At 51.4% G+C, this 18,554-nt stretch overlaps 1 long non-coding RNA gene across 1 annotated transcript in view; it reads left to right on the forward strand.

Moving 5' to 3' along the window:
• FAM30C (family with sequence similarity 30 member C) overlaps positions 1 to 18,554 on the forward strand; it is a 46,560-nt gene that overhangs the window by 15,709 nt on the left and 12,297 nt on the right. Inside the window, exon 2 of the long non-coding RNA NR_145444.1 lies at positions 1,427 to 1,572. This is a non-coding gene — a long non-coding RNA (family with sequence similarity 30 member C). The remainder of the gene's footprint in view (positions 1 to 1,426; positions 1,573 to 18,554) is intronic.

An 18,554-nucleotide genomic window follows, 5' to 3' on the forward strand; every position in this document is an offset into this window, starting at 1 on the left:
GACTTCCACGGGAGAGGGGTCCCAGGGGCGGGGAGATAATGATTTCTAGAAGGGTCTGTGTCTCTGAGTGTGCAAGTTTGTCCAAACTGTCCACCAGCTGTGATCAGGTAAACACAGGCAGACCTGAGTTCAGGCGGAGGAAACAGTTTTGTCATTAACTCTCTACCGACTCTAGGGGAATGAGCCAAGCTCCATTGTCGTCTGTGCAGAGGCCACAGCCTTGAAAAGGGAGGGGGTAGAGGGAGCAGGGAGGGTGCTCGGGGCTCAGTCGTCGGGGAAGGGAAAATTTGCCCAGTGCTGGTCAGCGTCCCTGGGATGGGGCCCGCTGTGTCCGTGCTGGCCACTGTTGAGGTCAGGATTCTGTCCTCCCAGAGCCTGGAGACACAGGCCCCATCCTTCCCAATGGGGACACTTCAGGGAGTGGCTCTCAGGTCCCGAGAAAGACCTTCCTGGCCACAGGAGACACACAGACATCAGGAAGGGACAGAGGAAGGATGTGCAGTTGCAGCCTTTACAGCAGATGCTCTGAGAATGGGAGGTCGAGAGTTGGAGCAAACGGTCAGTTCTGGTGCATTGAGCTTTCTCAGGCAGGTGTTGATGGGGCTGGGGTCAGCCTAGGGGTGTGACCTGAAGCCACTGGAAGCCTTGCTGGGGTCTGGCTCTCTCTTGGTGCAGTGGGGTGGAGGGAGCCCTGACAATAGAGCACTGGGGGGCCTCCAGGAGACCATCCCTGCAGCAGCCGGGCCATGCTCTGAGGATGTGGGAAGAGGACCCCCACTGTCTCTGAGTATAGGGTGGTGACTTCTTTGCACAGACTGGCCAGGGGTCCCACAGGGGCACAGTACAGGTGTCCCTGGGCTGCAGGGCTGGGGGACATCAGAGCTGCTCTCTGGGCTTGGCAGCCACCTCATGTGGGATCAGAAGGGGGGGGCAGTGCCTGGTGCTTCCCCTCCAGGCCTCTCTCCATGGTGTCCAGGGTAGCTTCTGGGGCTTTGGTGCCAATTTCTGAGGCCAGGGTCCTACCCTTCCTGATGCCGTGATGCTTGGTGGCTCTGGAGGAAGCCCCAGCTTTGGCCACTCCTGCACTGCCTGGGGCTCCAGTCCTGCTGCGCCTTGAGGGGAACCCAGGGCCCCAGGCTTGGCCCTGTAAGGTCAGATGGGGGCTGGGCTCCAGCATCCTGCCGCTAGGTTTAATTCCTAAATGACAGGGAGGCAGACTCTGGCTGAGCTCAAGACCTGTTCCCAGGCTCTGTGCCAGAGCAGGGTCCCCCAGCAGAGGCTGTGTGGAGCTGGGCAGGGTTCGCACTTTGTGGGGAGTTCCCTGGACCTGGAGACTCAACCCTCAGCCTCCTTGATGATGAATGATTCATCCTGTGACTGTCTTGGCCCAGACAATCAGGTGGCCTCCTCACCTACCCCTCTTCAGACAGGGCCTCAGACCTAAGGCAGGAGCACCCCCTACACCAGACCTCCTGGGTCACAGGAAATGCACAGACATCGGGAAGGGACGGAGGATGGACGGAGGAAGGACGTGCAGTTGCAGCTCTTTCTGCAGATGCCCTGAGAGAGGAGGTAGGAGCACGCTTGCTGTGGTTTGAATGCTTCTCTCCTCCAAAACTCATGTTGAAATTTCATTGCCATTGTAACAGTATGAAGAGTGATTAGGTCATAAGGTCCCCACCTCATGGGTGGGATTGGCGCTGTTATAAAAGGGTGAGTTCGGCCCCCTCTTGCTCTCTTTCTTGCCTTCTGCCATATGATGACACAGCAAGAAGGTCCTTGCCAGATGCTCCTGGACTTGCTTTGGACTTTCCCTTGCTCTTGGACTTGCTCTGGCACCTTGCTCTTGGACTTCACAGCCTCTAGAACTGTGAGAAATAAATTTCCGTTCAGTATAAACTTCCCAGTCTTGGGTGTTCTATTACAACATCACAAAACAGTCTAAGACAACCCCGTATTCAGACCTAAGGTGAGATAACCCCTACCCATATCTAAGGATCCCCTGCTCCAGATCTTAGTGGTGAGGTCAATACAGGACTCCCTCTGAGGGAAGCCCTGACAGCAGTGCCTGGGAAGGCATCTGTAGGGCCCAGTGGGCCGGGGAGGCCCAGGACACACCTACATCATCTCTCATAATCCCTCCATTCTGTTATAACAGGAGCATATGCTTATAGCATACTTTAAAAATCAGCCCAAAACTGAAGGTAAGCATCAGTTAATTGATGGACTCCTTTTCACGGTTTGGTCTTTGTATTTACACCACAGTCATCTCACAGTGTGTGTTGAGCTTTGCACCCTTTTATCAAATGAGGTCACCCCATGAATGCTGGCTGTCACGTTATCACAGATATGTGACAAGTATAATTGGGAATGTTTGCAGAATAGTCCCATTAATGTATGCACCATAATTTCTTCAGGCACTATCTTGCTTTCAACTATTTTATAATTATAAATAATGGTCTGAAGAATGTCTGTTCACAAAGTGTTTTCCTCATGTGTGCTAGCCACTTGTTTTCTTTTGGAAATTGTGTTATATCCTTTGCTGATTTCTTAAGGGATTTGTTCTTTTTCTTATTAGCTTATGTATGTTGTTTGCCTAATAATGGTACAAGACCTTTACATATTAGATTAATATTATTTGAGTTTATTATTTACTGTTAAGTTTTGATGATTTTTAAATGTAAAGAATCTGTAAAGGTGTTACCTAGCTTCATGATTTGGGTATGCGGTGAAGCCTGCCCAACTTTGGGCAGCTGTCTGGGCCTGTGTTTCCAGAGCTTGAAGGAGTCTCTGCTTCCCTCTGGAGGGCTGGTGTGATAGTGTTCTCTCTCCAGGCCTGGGTGCCCTCCTGGGTCTGGGCTTGGGCTGGGCTCTTAGATGTCTCAGAGGAATTGAGACTCTATTAATCAAGTGAGTCTTTCCATTTCTGGTGAGATGATCATGGGTCATCATTGGCCTGAGTGGTGGGATGAGCTATAAATAGTTCTTAATTCCCGGTGTAAGTCCTTGTTCAATGAGATGGACAGAATTTGGCCTTCTAGGATGTCATTTATAACATTTGGCTCTTTGCCAAAATGCAAGTAACCCATGTTTTACTCTGGAGACTGTGGAGTGTGATCCCGTTCATAGACTTTTCCATGTTTCTCCAAATCCTGGAGCAGTTCTTATGGGAACTGATTAGTTTTGTGAAAGTCTAAACTTCACCCATAAAGCCATCTTGGCCTGAAGTCATCTGTGAGGGCAATTATTTAATAATCTTAATGCTTTCTTGAGGATTATTGTTCCAACTACGATTTCCATTTCTTCTTGAGTCAGTTTTAAGTTTTATTGCTAGAAAAGAAAAATGCCAACTTGCCGTCATCTCTGCCGTCACTATTTTGTGTTCAACAATTGCCTTCTGTATCTGCTGTGTCTTCCCCAGCACAGAAGCTGTAATGTTATTAAACAAAGCAATGTATCCAGATCACTCAGAATCTATGCCTGTCACGGGGAGCAGGAGATGAGGGTGAATGAAGAGCCAGAGCATGGCAGGGGAGCCACTGCAAGGATGCTGAAACTCATGTGAACAGAGTTGCTGTAGGCAGGCCACCATGGAACCTTGCGGGGGAAGCACTGCCTCTTAGGAATGGCAGTGAAAATGGGAGAAGAGGGTGGTATTGCCTCCAGATAGAAGATGCAGTGCTTTGCCTTGCTCCTTGGTGCATGGAGAGGGAAAGGGATGCTGCTATAAAGTTCCTGGCTGGACTTTGGCTTGATAAGGCATGGGTACCTTTGGGAGTATGAGGGCGGGTGGGTTTGTGCACATCTTCCACGAGGAGCTGTTAGTATTGGGGCAGACGTTTCAAGTATGGCAAACAAAGGATGTTCTGCATGGGGAAATGTGGTGACATCCATTTCACAAGGACAGCTCACATAGATTGAGTGCTCAGGAAGGACCAGCATCATACCCAGTGCCTGATGTGTATCATCTCAATTAGTCCTTGCCTCAAATGCAAAAGGAAGCCATTGCCATCTTCATCACCACCATCATCATCATCCTCCTGTGCAGATGGAAAAGCTGAGGCATAGAGAGGTGACGGAGTCTGCCCAAGACTGCAAGCCTGCTGGTGGCAGAGCCAGATTCCAATGGAATGAAGGTTGTCATCCTCAGATGGCAGGGTAGGCAGGTGGCTAGAGCTCACTTGGGAGAAGGGGAAAGGACACTGACATTGGCTAGGGATGGAGCAGGGCTTGGGCTGGCTTTCCATGCACGGGCAGTGGGCCTGGCTCATGGCTGTGCTCCAGCCCCGGGTGTGGACATTGAATCTTCCAGGTCTACCCTAGGCTATGGGTTTGGACAGCACTGTGATGGAAAGAAGACGCTCTATGTCCTGCAGTCTGTGACCAATGATGTGACTGTGGGAATGGCGCTGGCATCTGGCTGCCACTCTGGGACGGGTGGCCAGCTGCCATCAGGCCCTGGGATGGGACCACCATACGACTTCTTCCCTCGCTCCTCCAGGTCATGTCCACAGCCCAGGAGGACCAGCAAAGCCTCTCAAGCCGATGGCAGCTCACGTTCTGCCTTGTCAGCTACTCCTCTCCTGGGCAACATTGGCTGCTTGCTGTGGCTCTCCCTGGGGTACGTGACTGCCTCTGTGCTGGGCGCCTGGCCTGGGCTTTCCTTCTGGGCCTGGGCAGCTGGGCTCAGCTTGGACCCAGGCAGCAGCCACAGAGGGGCCCATGGAGGTGACAGAGTTGCTTCTATGATGGTGAACGGGCAGCTGTGACAGGGGGGAGGCGACCACTCCTTAGTTTCCAAGTGCTGCGGTCAGGGCCAGGGCCAGCAAAGTCCCTCCCATATTCAAAGAGTGGGTTTGGGTTTGTCCCAGGAGGACATAGTCAGGAGCCCATGCTGGGACATGCCTCCTCCAAAGTTCAGCCTGGACCCCAGCCTCTGCCAACGGCCCCGCTCCTTAGCTAACCCAGCTTACTCCTGGGTTCCACAGCAGAGTCAGATGTTTCTGGGTACTTTCACCTTTGTGCCTTAAAGCATGTTGAGGACTTTAAGGAATTGTGGAGAAATAGGGCTGTGCCAAAGGCAAGTGACAACCGGGAACAATGATCCCACAGAGGCTGCTGAGGCCTGGGCCCCAGGGGCGTGAGTTCATCCTTCTGCCTGGGCTTTGGTGAGAGGGGCAGACTCTGTGGTCTGAGACACAAAAAAACCCCAAAACATACTTGTGTACAGACACACAGCAGAGGCACACACACACTTGGGCCCATGCACACACTCACAGGAGGCCCGTGGACTCCGCACAGTGAAGAAACTCCTCCGGTTGACAGTGGAAGGTGCTGCAGCAGGGACCCACCCCCAAGCCCTGCCTGCCTCCCATTGCCCACCTGGCCCTGGCTTGATGGGCTCATCTCATGCTGTGGCTGGGGCCTCTTGCTTCCTGCAACCCCTTGCTGGCCTGGGGCCTGGGCCTCTCCTGGGCTGTGCCTAGGGTTTGTAACCCAGGGCCTGTGCTGGCGTGCACAGAGCATCTCTCCCTGGGAGGCTCAGGGCTGCCTCCTCGAGTTCTGTGGGCCTGCACCGGCTGGTGAGCCTGTGGTGTGCATTTTTAGGCTGTATCCTTCTACTTCCTGAGTCCAGGGGTCCCAGGTACCCTGCAGCTGTCTCCTCAGCCACCCTGTGGGGCCCCGAGACCTTGCCCTCACTTCAGTGCCCGGGTGCTCCAGCTCTGCCCAGGTGCCAGGCGAAGGTGTGAGCATGAGCCTATCGGACACACCTGGCAACGTATACCGGGTGTCCCACCCCTGCCACCACGGGGCCTCCCAATACGGCAACCGCCACGGACCTGTGGGGACCAATGAGGAAAGAGAGACGCAGGTCTGGGCCAGGCTCACAGGGACTCCGCCATAGCAGACCCTGCCCCAGCAGGCCCCCTTGTCCTTCCTGGGCCCTGGTCCTTCATGAGGAACTAGCCCATCCCTGGTGGGGCTCCCACCCCACTTCTAGTGGGCTCCATGCTTGTCTTGTCTGAGTCACCCCTCAGGCAGTGGCAGGATCCTCTCCTTTAGACCCACTGTGCCTTCCGGGCCTCCTGGGCTTCTGCTGGGGACAGAAGAAATGCCTCCCCAGGTCTGTCTCTGGAGGCTCTGAGGGAGATGGGCTTGGGGGCTCTAGGAGGAGGCAGGGATTCCAGGGTGTTAGGAAGGCAGGGGTGCAAGGTCCCACCCAGTGAAGTAACAAGCCGTGGGTGGTGACAGTGACCCAGCGCCCTCGCTGCCCAGCCCTGCCTGTCCCCAGCCAGCACTGCAGGGAACCCAGTGAAGTAACAAACCGTGGGTGGTGACAGTGACCCAGTGCCCTCACTGCCCAACCCTGCCTGTCCTCAGCCAGTGCTGCAGGGATCCCAGGCCCAGACTCTGCAGGCCTTCACTGATCCTGGCCACCCAGAAAGGCTGCAGCCTGCGGGCACCAGCCGGGCCACATGCCCAGTGCCAGCTAGGGCCCACCGCCCATCCTTCACACAGGGCTGCTGGGTAGGTGCCCCTCACACCCCCAGGATGTCAGTGCTCACCTCGAGCAAAGTGCCCCAGCTTGGCCTTGGGAGGCGGTCATGTCCCGGGGCATGATGGAGAGCTGTCCAACTGAGAGAAAGGGAGGGAGGGAAGGAGGGAGGGAAAGAGACAGAGAGAGAGAGAGAGAGAGAGGAGGTGTGGGCTCTAAGGCTGCCTTAGTGGAGTTGTGCGTGGCCTGCACCTCACCAAGCCTAGCCACTCTCACCGCTCTGAGTGGCTCACAGGCTTGTGAGGGCCCCGTCGCTGCCTGCTGGGTCCCCACCAGGGCTCCCTCTAGGAATGCGCCATGGCTGCTATGACAATTTGCACAGCCCAGTGGCTTAAACACCACACATTTATACCACAGGTCCAGATGAATCCTACAGGGCCAAGGTCTAGGTGTGCTGGAGGCCATGCTCCCTCCAGGCTTGCGGGGAGAACTTCCCTGCCTCTTCTAGTCTCTGCATCCCTGAGCTCTCGGCTCCTCCTCCGTCTTCAGGGCCAGGGCGTAGCATCTGCTCTCTCAGCCTCTGCCTCTGCTTCCGACCTCATCTGGCTTCTGTCTATGTCAGTCTCCCTCTGCCATCCTCCTAGAAGGACACCTGTGATTATATTAGGGCTCACCTCTTTAATCCAGGAGCACCTCTCCACTTCATGATTTTCAGCTAACTTCCTTCTGCAAAGACCCCCTTTCCCTATAAGGGCACACATTCACTGGTCCCGGGGCTAAGGACCTTGCTCCAAGTCCCTCCACCCATGATGTTGTGCCTTCCAGAAACCTGTCCTCTGCAGTTCGGTCTTGACCCCAAGCCTGCTGGTGACCTGAACATCACAGGGTTATCCCCTTGGGCCGTGTGCAGCATGATGCAATTTCTTGGCCTGAATGTCATGCTCCCTGGGGCAGGACCTTGAGCCTGCAGCACACACTAGGCCACCTGCAGCCTCACAGGCCATGCCCTGGGTAGACAGGGATGTGCTCAACCCCAGCTCGGGTCCTCTAGTCTGCCTGGCTACCATGCTTCTCATTCTCCTGCATCTGCAGACCCTGGGTTGCCATGTGAGGTAGGGGTGGGGTGGGGCTGAGGGCGTGGCTTTGGTCCCTGGCTGTCCGGATGAAGCACCAGAGTGATGCCACAGCCCATCCCGGTGACATGCTCACCCCCAACCCCCATGTCCGGGACCCCGGTCTTGTGTGGTCCCTGATGTGGAGTCCTCAGTCCTTAAGATACATCCAGAAAGTCCTGGCCATGAATTGGGGGTGCAGAGTCCTGCAGAGCCGCTGGGCTGGGCTGGTGCCCCCAGGAGATGGAGGGTCTGGTGGATGCCCTCCTCCCTCAGAGCTGGGGCAGCTGCCTCCCAGGGGTGGGACCGTGGGCTCAGAGAGAGGCCCTTGAGCTGCAGCTCAGGGGAGTGTGAGGCTTCATGGAGTGTGTCCTGGTCCATGTGGTCCACGTGTCTCCATCTCCAAGGAGAGGCTCCTCAGTGTGCATCCCCATATCCGTCCTCTCTGCCGGCCCCCGGCGTCTGAGCAGTCATTCCCTGTCAGCACCTCTGCAGCCTGCTGGGCCTCAGGTTCGCTGTGAGGGACCTCCCCGGCCTTCCGCGGAGGTGGAGTAAGCTCCGTCAAGGCAGGTGGCTTCGTCCCTTCCTGTGAGTGACACCAGTGATGAAATGGACCCCTCCACACAGGCATCCTCAGGGCACAGGGCCCTGGGGGCACCTTCCTCCTTTCTTATTTGTTGAGAAAAAAAAGTGGCATTGGGCTCACACCAGGATGCTGGTGCAGAGCTGACATGCTCGGGAAAGGTCAGAGGTCACTGGGGGTGGGAAGGTCATCCAGTCCAGACTCAGCACCTCGTGGGCTGGTAAACTGAGGCTCAAAGTGCTGGTGCCAGGCCTAAGGCCTCGTGGTGACTGCTGTCTCTGGTTCCCAGCACCTGCCTGAGACCTGCCCCAGGCACCCATAACCTGGAATTCCGTTTCCTTGTCCAGGGCCTGAGGAAATGGCTCCCCAGGTCTGTCTCTGGAGGCTCTGAGGGAGACGGGCTTGGAGGCTCTAGGAGGAGGCAGGGATTCCAGGGTGTCAGGAAGGCAGGGGTGCCAGGTCCCACCCAGTGAAATAACAAACCGTGGGTGGCATTTCGGCCTCCCTGCCTTCCCCACTGGGTGTGCTGGTGCTGGTGCTGCTGGGTCAGGGCTGCCCGTGACCCCAGACACCACTGTCCGTCCTGTGAGGCTCCTGTCTGGGCATGTCCTGGGTGGATTCCTCCTTTCTGTTAAGTAGCTACATGAGGCAGGGGCTCCTGGATCCAAAAAAAATGACAGGAATTCCAGAGCCAGGTGCATCCACTCAGGACAGCCAGTGTTCGTGGAGCTGCCTCTCCACAAGTGAAAGTCAGCCCTCCCCTCTCATGAGAAAAGAACCTGTGGATACCTCTCAGCCTCCAGCGTTGCAAGTGCAAGGCCAGTGGAGTTAATCTGCAACGTGCATGAGGGCATGTGTCAGTGGCTGTGTGCAGGAGCGTGAGTGAGCAAGAGTGAGAGCGCATGGCTCCTGCTGTACCTCAAAGTGTGGGCTCCTGGTGGCTGCTCAGCGTTCCCAGGGGTGAGAGGCCTCATGCATCCTAGGCTGTCTATATATAGACACAGATTTTCTTCTCTGTGGTCTGGAGCGCCGCCTGGTGGTCTTGTGCTTCCCTGCAGGGAGGTTTGTGTCTGGGCTCACACTGAGGTACCCATTCTGTCTCCCACGGGAATGTGTGGCCCTGCCCTTGGCCATCACGGAGCTCAGCTGCAGGGATAACTGGGCCTTGGATGTGTCTCTGCAGATGGACAGTTGGCCCAGAAGGGTGGGCTGAAGTGTGTGCTGCCCCTGGAGCTGAGGTGCCCCAGTGCCTTCCCAGAGTGCTGCTGGGTCCAGGCCCAGAGGTCTGTGAGGACCTCACCAGCCCTGGGCATGACTCTAGTAGCTGCACTTGATGCAGGACACTCAGGGCCAAGAAGCAAAGACATGAGTCGCAAACGGACACCACAGCCCACAGCCCCAGTTCTGAAATCTCTGAGACACTCACATGGAAGTATAGCCATCAGGCAGAGGACGACGCAGAGAGATCTCATATTTTCCTCAACAAGGGGCACGACTTTCCCAGTGGCCTCTCCAGGACAGAACAAGAAAAAATAACTGGCTCTCTCTAGCCTGAGGTTGCATTTCGCCGAGTCTCTGGGATGGAAATGTGTCTTGTGTCTTCAGGAGTCTGCAGGGCAGCCGCTGCTGTGACTCAGGTAGAAACTTCTCTCCCCTGATGTCCTGGCCCCTTGTTATCCCTGCCACGGTGGAATCAGACTGGGCACCGCTTTAGGGAGAAACGGAGGACATGGAGTGAGGGCTGGTTAGTGGAGACTATTGAAAGGAGTCAAAACTCTCCAGGGGAAGAGACGCCTCCAGGAACCCTTGGCATTGTTTTCTTCACTTCGCAGGAGTAGGAAGGAGCTGAGAGTCTAGAGAGAGCCTCAGATGCACAACCCTAATTTGGCATATCAGGGAGCAATCTCATCAGCCCAGGAGAAGGCCCAGGAGAAGGGTCAGCTCTTTGTGCCTCTGCAGAGAAGCGGCAGGGACTGGGAGGGCTTTTTCCCTGCCCAGCAGGTGGTGCTGCCTCCTTGTTCCCTGCTTGGCACAGCCTCGGGGTGCAGCTGCTGGCTTTCCCAGGGCCTGTGGAGAGCGTCTTCTTGGTACTTCCTTAACGTCAAATAAAGTGAACGCCTTCTCAATGCACATCTTAATTCATCATTGGAAAGGCCAAAACACACACACACACACACACCCCTATATTTTTTTCTGACAAGAGCTAGAGACAATTGATAAGTATGTTATCTGACTATAGCTCACCTTAAGGAGGAAAAAACTATTAAGAAATTTCTTAAGTGTAAATTGTGCCTAATCATGTGTAAATTAGTAACAGAAGCAAAAAATAATAACTGCAGTCAACTTATACACTTTAAAAGAATACTCTGTGAAACAATGACATGTTATCAAAAAAGGGATACTTAATTTGTTATGTGTGGTGACGGTCAATGAGCAGACTTGTGTTCTTGCTGGAGAAGTCACAGCATCCCCACAGGTGGACTTCCTGCAGCAATCTTGCATGCCTCACACTTCTGTCCAAAGCACGTAAGGGAGGAGCTCAGTGCGCACAGGAACCTGACGCCTGCCACCCAAGGGATGCGTGAGCTTCCGTATAAGCAGAAGAAGATGGAAACTTCAGCACCTGCAACAGAAGAGGCTTTCTGCTTTGGGGACCCAAACAGTTCCATCTATGGTGGAGGTGTAGGCTCATTCCTACATCAACGTCAACAAGCCATTGAACACAACAACATTTAGGAGTAGTCGAGCCCACCTTCTCCAATGTGGCCTGCACAGCCCAGGCTGCAGGGTGGGAGAGGTTGATTCTGGAGAAAAGTCATTCCTGCTCCCCTGGTACACTCTCCTCCCCCACTGCTTCATACAGAGACCAATGTGATGATGCCATCATGATGTTGAAGCACACACTGAACCCTGTAATCAATTAAAGGGTTTTCCCATCCACCCATCCACACACACATCCACCCATCCACTCACCCATCCATCCATCCATCACTTATCCATGCATCCATCCACCCACCCAGCCATGCATTCATCCAGCCATCCCACAATCCACCCACCCACCCACACATCCAAACATCCATCCACTAATTCATGCATCTGTCCACCCATCCAGCCATCTGTTAGCAGGAGCGAATCCATACAGGTCTGCAGCAACTTGATTCTCGCCTCCTTGGAGGAAAGAATTTGGCCAAGGGGCATGCAGAAGAGTGAGAGACCCAAGCAAGTTTTAGAGCAGGAGTAAATGTTTATTAAAGTTTTAGAGTGGGAACGAAAGGAAGTAAAGTACACTTGGAAGATGGCTAAGTGGGTGACTTGAGAGATCTAAGTGCTCTGCCTGGCCCTTGACTTGGGGTTTTATACATTGGCATGGTTCTGGGATTTGTATTTCTTCTCCCTTGATTTTTCCTTTGGGGTGGGATGTCCACATGTACAGTGGCCTGCCAGTGCTTCGGAGGGGCCGCGTACACAATGGGTTTAATGAAATGTGCACATGCTCATTTGAGGTGTTTTTCTCTTACTTTTAGAGTGTTCCTAGAGGAAGATTATGTGCCAGTTAAACTCTGCCACTTTGCCTCTTAGTGCATATGCTTGAGCCCACTCATCCAACTCCTGAGATCTTATCGGGAAGCTGCTGATGACCAGTTTCGGGTGTTTTCTATCTATTGGGAGACTGCCTTTTCTTGGTGCCCGCTGAGATCAATTATTATTATTTATTATTATTATTATTATTTGAGACAGGGCTTTGCTCTACCACCAGGCTGGAGTGTGGTGGCGCAATCTCAGCTCACTGCAGCCTCTGCCTCCCAGGTTCAAGCAATTCTCCTGCCTCAGCCTCCCGAGTAGCTGGAACTATAGATGCACGCCACCACGCCCAGCTAATTTTTGTATTTTTAGTAAAGACAGGGTTTCGCCATGTTGGCCAGGATGGTTTCGATCTCTTGACCTTGTGATCCACCCGCCTCAGCCTCCCAAAGTGTTGGTATTACAGGCGTGAGCCACCATGTCCAGCCGAGACCAATTATTATTTTAGAGAGGCAGTTTAACAATCACTTGACTATCAGCTCATGCCTGCCTAACTACCCACTCTAATACATCCATCCCTTCACATACCCATTCATCCATCCATCCATCCATCCAACCATCCACTCACTTATCTATCCAAGTACTCATCCATGCATGTAGCCACCCACCTACCCACTCATTCATCCACCCACCCATGCATCCATCAACCTACCCATCCACCCATACATGCATCCATCTATCTTTCCACTCTTCCATCCACACACCTACTCAGCCATTCATCCATCCATCCATCCATCCATCCATCCATCCATCCATCCACTAATCCATGGTTGGGTCCATCTGTCTGTGCGGCAAACATGCAAGGATAAGTTCCATGTGACAAGTCTGAACTCAGTGTTGGAATCATGGGAGGGGCAAGGTGGAACAGGCTGGCTTCCTCACCACTATTAACACTGTGGGGAGAAGGCCGATGGCAAACTCACTTCCATGTTAAGTTTCCTGAAAGAGGAAGGGGAGTGTAATGCTAGAGAGTAATGGAAGCTCCCACTGTTGACACAGAGGTAATAAATGCCTGTCTGATGAGCTAAGACCTGCAGGAACAGAAACAGCCACATGAAAACAAGGCAGGAAAGAGGCCTATGGCAGAAGAGCAGCTGCTGAAAGTTCCCTTAGGTTGGGCAAAACTGCTATGTTTTGAGGAACTTAGAACAGTCCAAGGGCAAGCTACCGCCCTGTGTTTCTCCTCTTCCCCCGTGTCTGTCTGTGTTCCACAGTGATTGTGCAAACTCTAAATACATTGATGACTCACCATTGCCTTTATGTTAGAATAAACAAAACAGAAAACAAATCCCTGATGACCCCACAGGTTGCCCTCTTTCACTTTGTATCTCTCATTTCTGCCTCTCTCTCTCTCTCTCTGTCTCCCTTCATCTGGCCCATCTCTCTGTATATCTTTTTGTCTTATTATTTCAACAAAGTCTCTTAGGGTCCATCTACTGTGCTGGAAACTTTCTTCTCACCAACCATTGTAAGTTGGAGAATGTTTTCTCCACCTTATTACAAAATGTTATAGCTAATTCTCTTACTGCAGAATAATCTTTAATATGGGTGCCCTGTTTTTAGAATTTAAAATTAGTATCAATTGCCATTTTTTCACAATTACAATTAGTATTTTACAAATGAGTTTTGTAACAGGGCAGGGCATTAATGAATTAAATTACTCTGTAATAGGAATGAGAAATTTTATTTTAATATTTTTGAGACAGAGTCTTACTTTGTCTCTCAGGCTGGAGTGCGGTGATGTGATCTTAGCTCACTGCAACCTACACCTCTTGGGTTCAAACGATTATCCTGCCTCAGCCCCCCAAGTAGCTCGGACTACAGGTGCACGCCACCACGCCCAGCTAATTTTTGTATTTTTGGTAGAGACAGGGTTTCACCATGTTGGCCAGGCTGGTTTTGAACTTCTGACCTCAGGTGATCCACCTGCCTCAGCCTTCCAAAGTGCCGGGATACAGGCATGAGCCATCATGCCCAGCCAAGAAATTTTATTTTTAATGGACCCTCTTAGATAGTTATTAATAATGGCAGTATCAAAATACATGCAATTATGCATATGGAAGTAGCTTTTTTCCTGCAAACTCAAGAATATTTCAAATCATCTTCTCTTTATTCTTTTGAATTACATGTGTGAGAAACAGATTATAAGTATTTCATGTCATTTTCCCAGACATCACTATAAGCATCAAGTAACTATTCACATGTGTGCCAGCGATTTATCATCATACTCATGAGGGTTTTCTATTTCTAGAAGTTGCCCATTTTTTGATCTCTTCTTTGCTTTTTCCTTCTTGTAAATGTTGGACTTCTTAATTCTTTTCTAATGCTGCAGATCCTCCTAGGGAAGGATTCTCTACAGTACTACATGTGTTAGAATGTTGGGTGAAAAATTATACATGGTTTAAATAATGAATGAGCCCCAAAAAAAGAGCTGGATGTTGCCAGGTGCTAGGAATAGACAAAATTAAAAAGGGCATTTGAATTGAGAATGAAACCTGAATGCCCCTTGCATTTCTGAGGTAGGTTTAACATACACAGGACAGGAGCAGCCTTGTGTGTCTTCTGGGACTGGAGCTGAGGTTTCTGCTTTAGTAGAGAGGTTTTTTTTTTAATAATTAGTTTCTCTTTTGATTGACACATAAAAATGACCTATATTTATTCTGTACAGCATAATGTTTTGTAACATGTCTACATAGGGGAGTGGCTCCACTGAGCTAATTAACATCTGTATCACTCACATACTCCCCATACGGCTAGAGAGGTTCTAAGTTGGCTTCAGCCATGACGTCAGGTGAGAAACATTCCCCATGAAGAGCAGCCCTGGACATGGTAGAAAAGCAAACCCCAAGCCCTCGCTGTTCACAAAGTGGTCCTAGTGTCTCACCCACCATCTGGAGCTGCAACACTGAGCTAGGAAATCACCGCCGTGGAGTGCCACTGGCAGCGCACAGGTCCCAGCAGCCCGGAATAAGGCGCCATCCACAGATGCCTGCTCCCGGCGGACCACAGCTCCTGTGGTGAGGTCTCATACATAGAAACCATGTGATGAGCATGGGAAAAGCCTGTTATGGCATTCTGAAGACCACAAAGAGGGAGGTAAACCTCTAGAGATGACAGATACTTCAAGTTACTTTCTGATTTTTCTAAAATTATAAAATAGATCAACAAAAAGCTAGAGAAGAATGAATAATTCAAGAACAGATTTTAAGAAAGAAGAACTTTCTGATGTGTGAAAGTACCCAATATGCATTATCATAATTGTAGGCATTGAGCTCTCAATGAAAGAATGACCTCACACTTGACACTCAGAAGGGGATAAATAATGTTGGACAGATTGCCAAAGTGCTCTAGGAAGAAAATAATCCATCTTTAATTTTACAATACCACTCTTTCTACAATGATAGCAAAAAAAAATCCAGATACAAATGGCAGGAAAGTGGAGCATACAGTTTCTTGCTGAAGCTGCTGTTGATGAATGTGCTTCACTTGCACGATCTCAGCTGTGCATAGTGTGTGGCCAGTGGGGAGCAGTGCTTGTGGGTGGCTGAATAATGCATCCCCCAAATGTTTACATTCAAACTCCCAGAACATGTGGATTTGTGACCTCATATGGCACGAGGAACTTTGTAGATGTGATTAAATTAATCTCGAGAGGGGAGAATATGACCCTGCATTTTCTGGGTGGGTATGACATAATCACAAGGGTGCTTATAAGTGGAAGCAGGAGAGCCAGAGTCAGGGGAAGGGTGATGTGATGATGGACACAGAAATGAGAGGATGGCCTTTGAAGATGGAAGAAGGGGACACAGAGCAAGGAATATGGGTTCTAGAATCTGGAAAAGGCATGAAAACAGAATCTCCCTCCCAGGGTTCAGAAGGAACCAGCTCTGCCAACACTTTGCCTATAGACTAATAAAACCGCAGGACAACCAAGAAACTGCTCTTTCTTACATAGAACACAGTCAGTATGCTCACATGACATGGGTGGGTTTGAGAGTTAAAGGAGACTGCAAGGCCTCTGGGTGAAACAGGGCAGGAATCAGGTGGAGCAAGAGGGTGGGTGGGCAGGACCTGATTTTCAGGAGTGTAAATGTGAGGCACTGATGAGATTTCCAGGTGGAGACAGAGGGAGGAGTTATGTGTTCAGGTCTAGAGTGGAGCTGGTAGCTTGGTCTGAGCCTGAGAAAGGAGGGCATCCTCTAGGGATTGAGAGTAGGAAAAAGGAAGAGTGGATTAGTGCTAAGAACTAAGTGGGAGATTTCTGGAGGTTTCAGCTCACAGAGCCAGCAATGGCTTATGGTTGGGGTTTGTAACCCCAGTCACTGAAAGTGTCCTCCCAGCCTTTCTTTGCATATGCCCCTGGGACTGAGTTCCTGCGTTGGGTGGTCACTTACCATTCCCTAAGAGGCCCTAAGCACCTCCTGCAGCCCAGCAACTCCTGGACCCTCTGGAGAGGAAGTTTGTGTTTGTGTTTGCTTACGGAGCCCGGCTGCAGAGAAAACAAGTTTTGTTTTTTATTTTTTCGAAAGGATCTCACTCTGCCTGCCACCCACACTGAAGTGAGGTGGTGCCATCATAGCTCAGTGCAACCTCAACCTCCTGGCCTCAAGCCACCCTCCCACCTTGGCCTCCCAAAGTGTTGCATTTACAGGTGTGTGCCAAGGTGCCCAGTCAAAAACGGGTTCTTGGCTGGGCACTGTGGCTCAAGCCTGTAATCCCAGCACCTTGGGGGTCAAGGTGGGTGGATCACTTGAGCCCAGGATTTGAGACCAGTCTGAGCAACAGACTGTGACATGACCATTTAGCCTATGCAAATGTGGGGCTGGTTAAATGGTCTATGTGGGGCTGTCGCCTTGTCTTTGCATCTGTCACTGAGGCCAGAAGTCAGCAGGGCATACATTTCGGAAGGAAAGACAGTGGGCAAGCTGAGGTGGACAGAGGCATCCACAGGGATGGGTTGGGACACATGAAGGCAGGTGAAACCATGTTGTCTCTCACACCCTTTCAAGGGTCTCAGAGACTTGATTTAGAATTTTGATTTTTGAGAACATTTGTTATAGATGCTAAAAGGCTCAAAATATTTGATCAAAACAGAATCACAGGCCATTGTAAAATGATAGTTACTAATTTAACCAAAGTGGTAATTAAAAAGACTTTGGAGGTGAGTCAAGATGGCTGACTAGATGCAGCCAGGAGGAACATCTGCCATGGAGGGAGTGAGACATCAGGAAGACTGGTGCTTTCCAAGCAGATCTTTAAAGGGAAGGCATTGAGAGTGGACTGAGAGATGCCGGGCTGAAGGTGGAGGAAGATGGGAACCCTGCATGGGGATGCCGAGCACCAGGACTCATTCCTGGCTCCCAGCAACTCCTGGGGAAAGGTTGAGTTGAACAGGTGAGGAGTGGCCTGCTGTTGCCATGGGCCTCCAGAATCCTAGCAGCAGGAGACCCCATGACCCCCATGGACACTTGTGCTGGCAGGGACAGCTGCTTAGAGGGATACCAAGGGTAGGACTCCAGTCTGTGTAAAGCCCAGAGTGTTTGACATGAGAATGGCTGTAGTGGAGCACAGCCAGGTGACACCCATCCCCCAAGGCTCACCAACCTCCTCTAGGAGATTTTAACCTTAGAGTGACTATTGGAGCTGAATATAGCAGGGTGGTCTTGTCCATGGGACAGGGCCCATCTGAAATGAGCATTTCCTTGCCTTCTGGCCTCTCCTGGGGCCCCAGGCTGGCTGTGCCTGCTTGCAGTACAGCCTTGGAAGCCCAACCAGGGTGTTTCCTGGGGGCCCTCATCATAGCTCCTTTGCCAGCAGACCATGCCTAACCATTGGGGACCTCCAGCAAGCCAGCCTCTGCTGATGTGCACCAGTCCACCCATAGCACCTCCCAACTGCTTTGCTGGCATGAGTGCACAGCGGATCACAACTCCCTCTACCACCAGCAAGCATGTGCATGTGCACCCCGCCACCCTGTCCCTGCCAACACACAGGCACCTCACTGTCCTGTGACTGCCAGCAGGAACCTATGTAGGGATGCTGCCACCCTGCTCCTGCCAGTACCCCCACCCCAGCAGAGGCATGTGCACCCTGCCATGACACCACAACTGCTGGCACCTATGAGTGAGAATGGATCCCACTGCCACCACTCTAATGAAGTGCTTTGGCCGGCACCACCTACTATAGTGTTGTGGCCAGTGGACTGGGAAAAACTCAGCCCCTCCAATGCAGCAAGTTTCTAAACTCAAGGGGCCAGAGAATAAAGCCAGGGGCCCAGTCCCAGAGCAGAGAACACACCACAAGAGTGCTGAGGTCAGCCTGGACCCCCTAAGATTTTCAAGAAACACAGCTAACTGAACCCACTTTATACCACAATCAAACCTGCAAGAGTATCAAAGAAGATAAGAGCAAAAAACAAACAAATGAACAAACAAACAAAAACACACACCAAAAAACAACAAAAAAGAAAAAAACATCCAAAGGACAGCCACTTCAAAGATTAAAGAAACAGCCCACAAAGATGAGAAAGAATTAATGCAAGAAACTCTGCAACTCTAAAATCCAGAGTGTCTTCTTACCTCCAAACGACCACACTGGTTTCCCAGCAATGGTTCTTAACCTGACTGAAATGGCTGAAATGACAGACATAGAATTCAGAATATGGATAGGAAAGAAGATAACTGAGATTCAGGAGAATGTTGAAACCCAATCCAAGGGAGCTAAGAAATAAAGTAAAATGATACAGAAGCTGAAAGATGAAGTGGCCATTTTAAGAAAGAAT

This window comes from Homo sapiens, chromosome 15, assembly GCF_000001405.40.
Source record: "Homo sapiens chromosome 15, GRCh38.p14 Primary Assembly".
In the NCBI taxonomy this organism is placed as follows: Eukaryota; Metazoa; Chordata; class Mammalia; order Primates; family Hominidae; genus Homo; species Homo sapiens.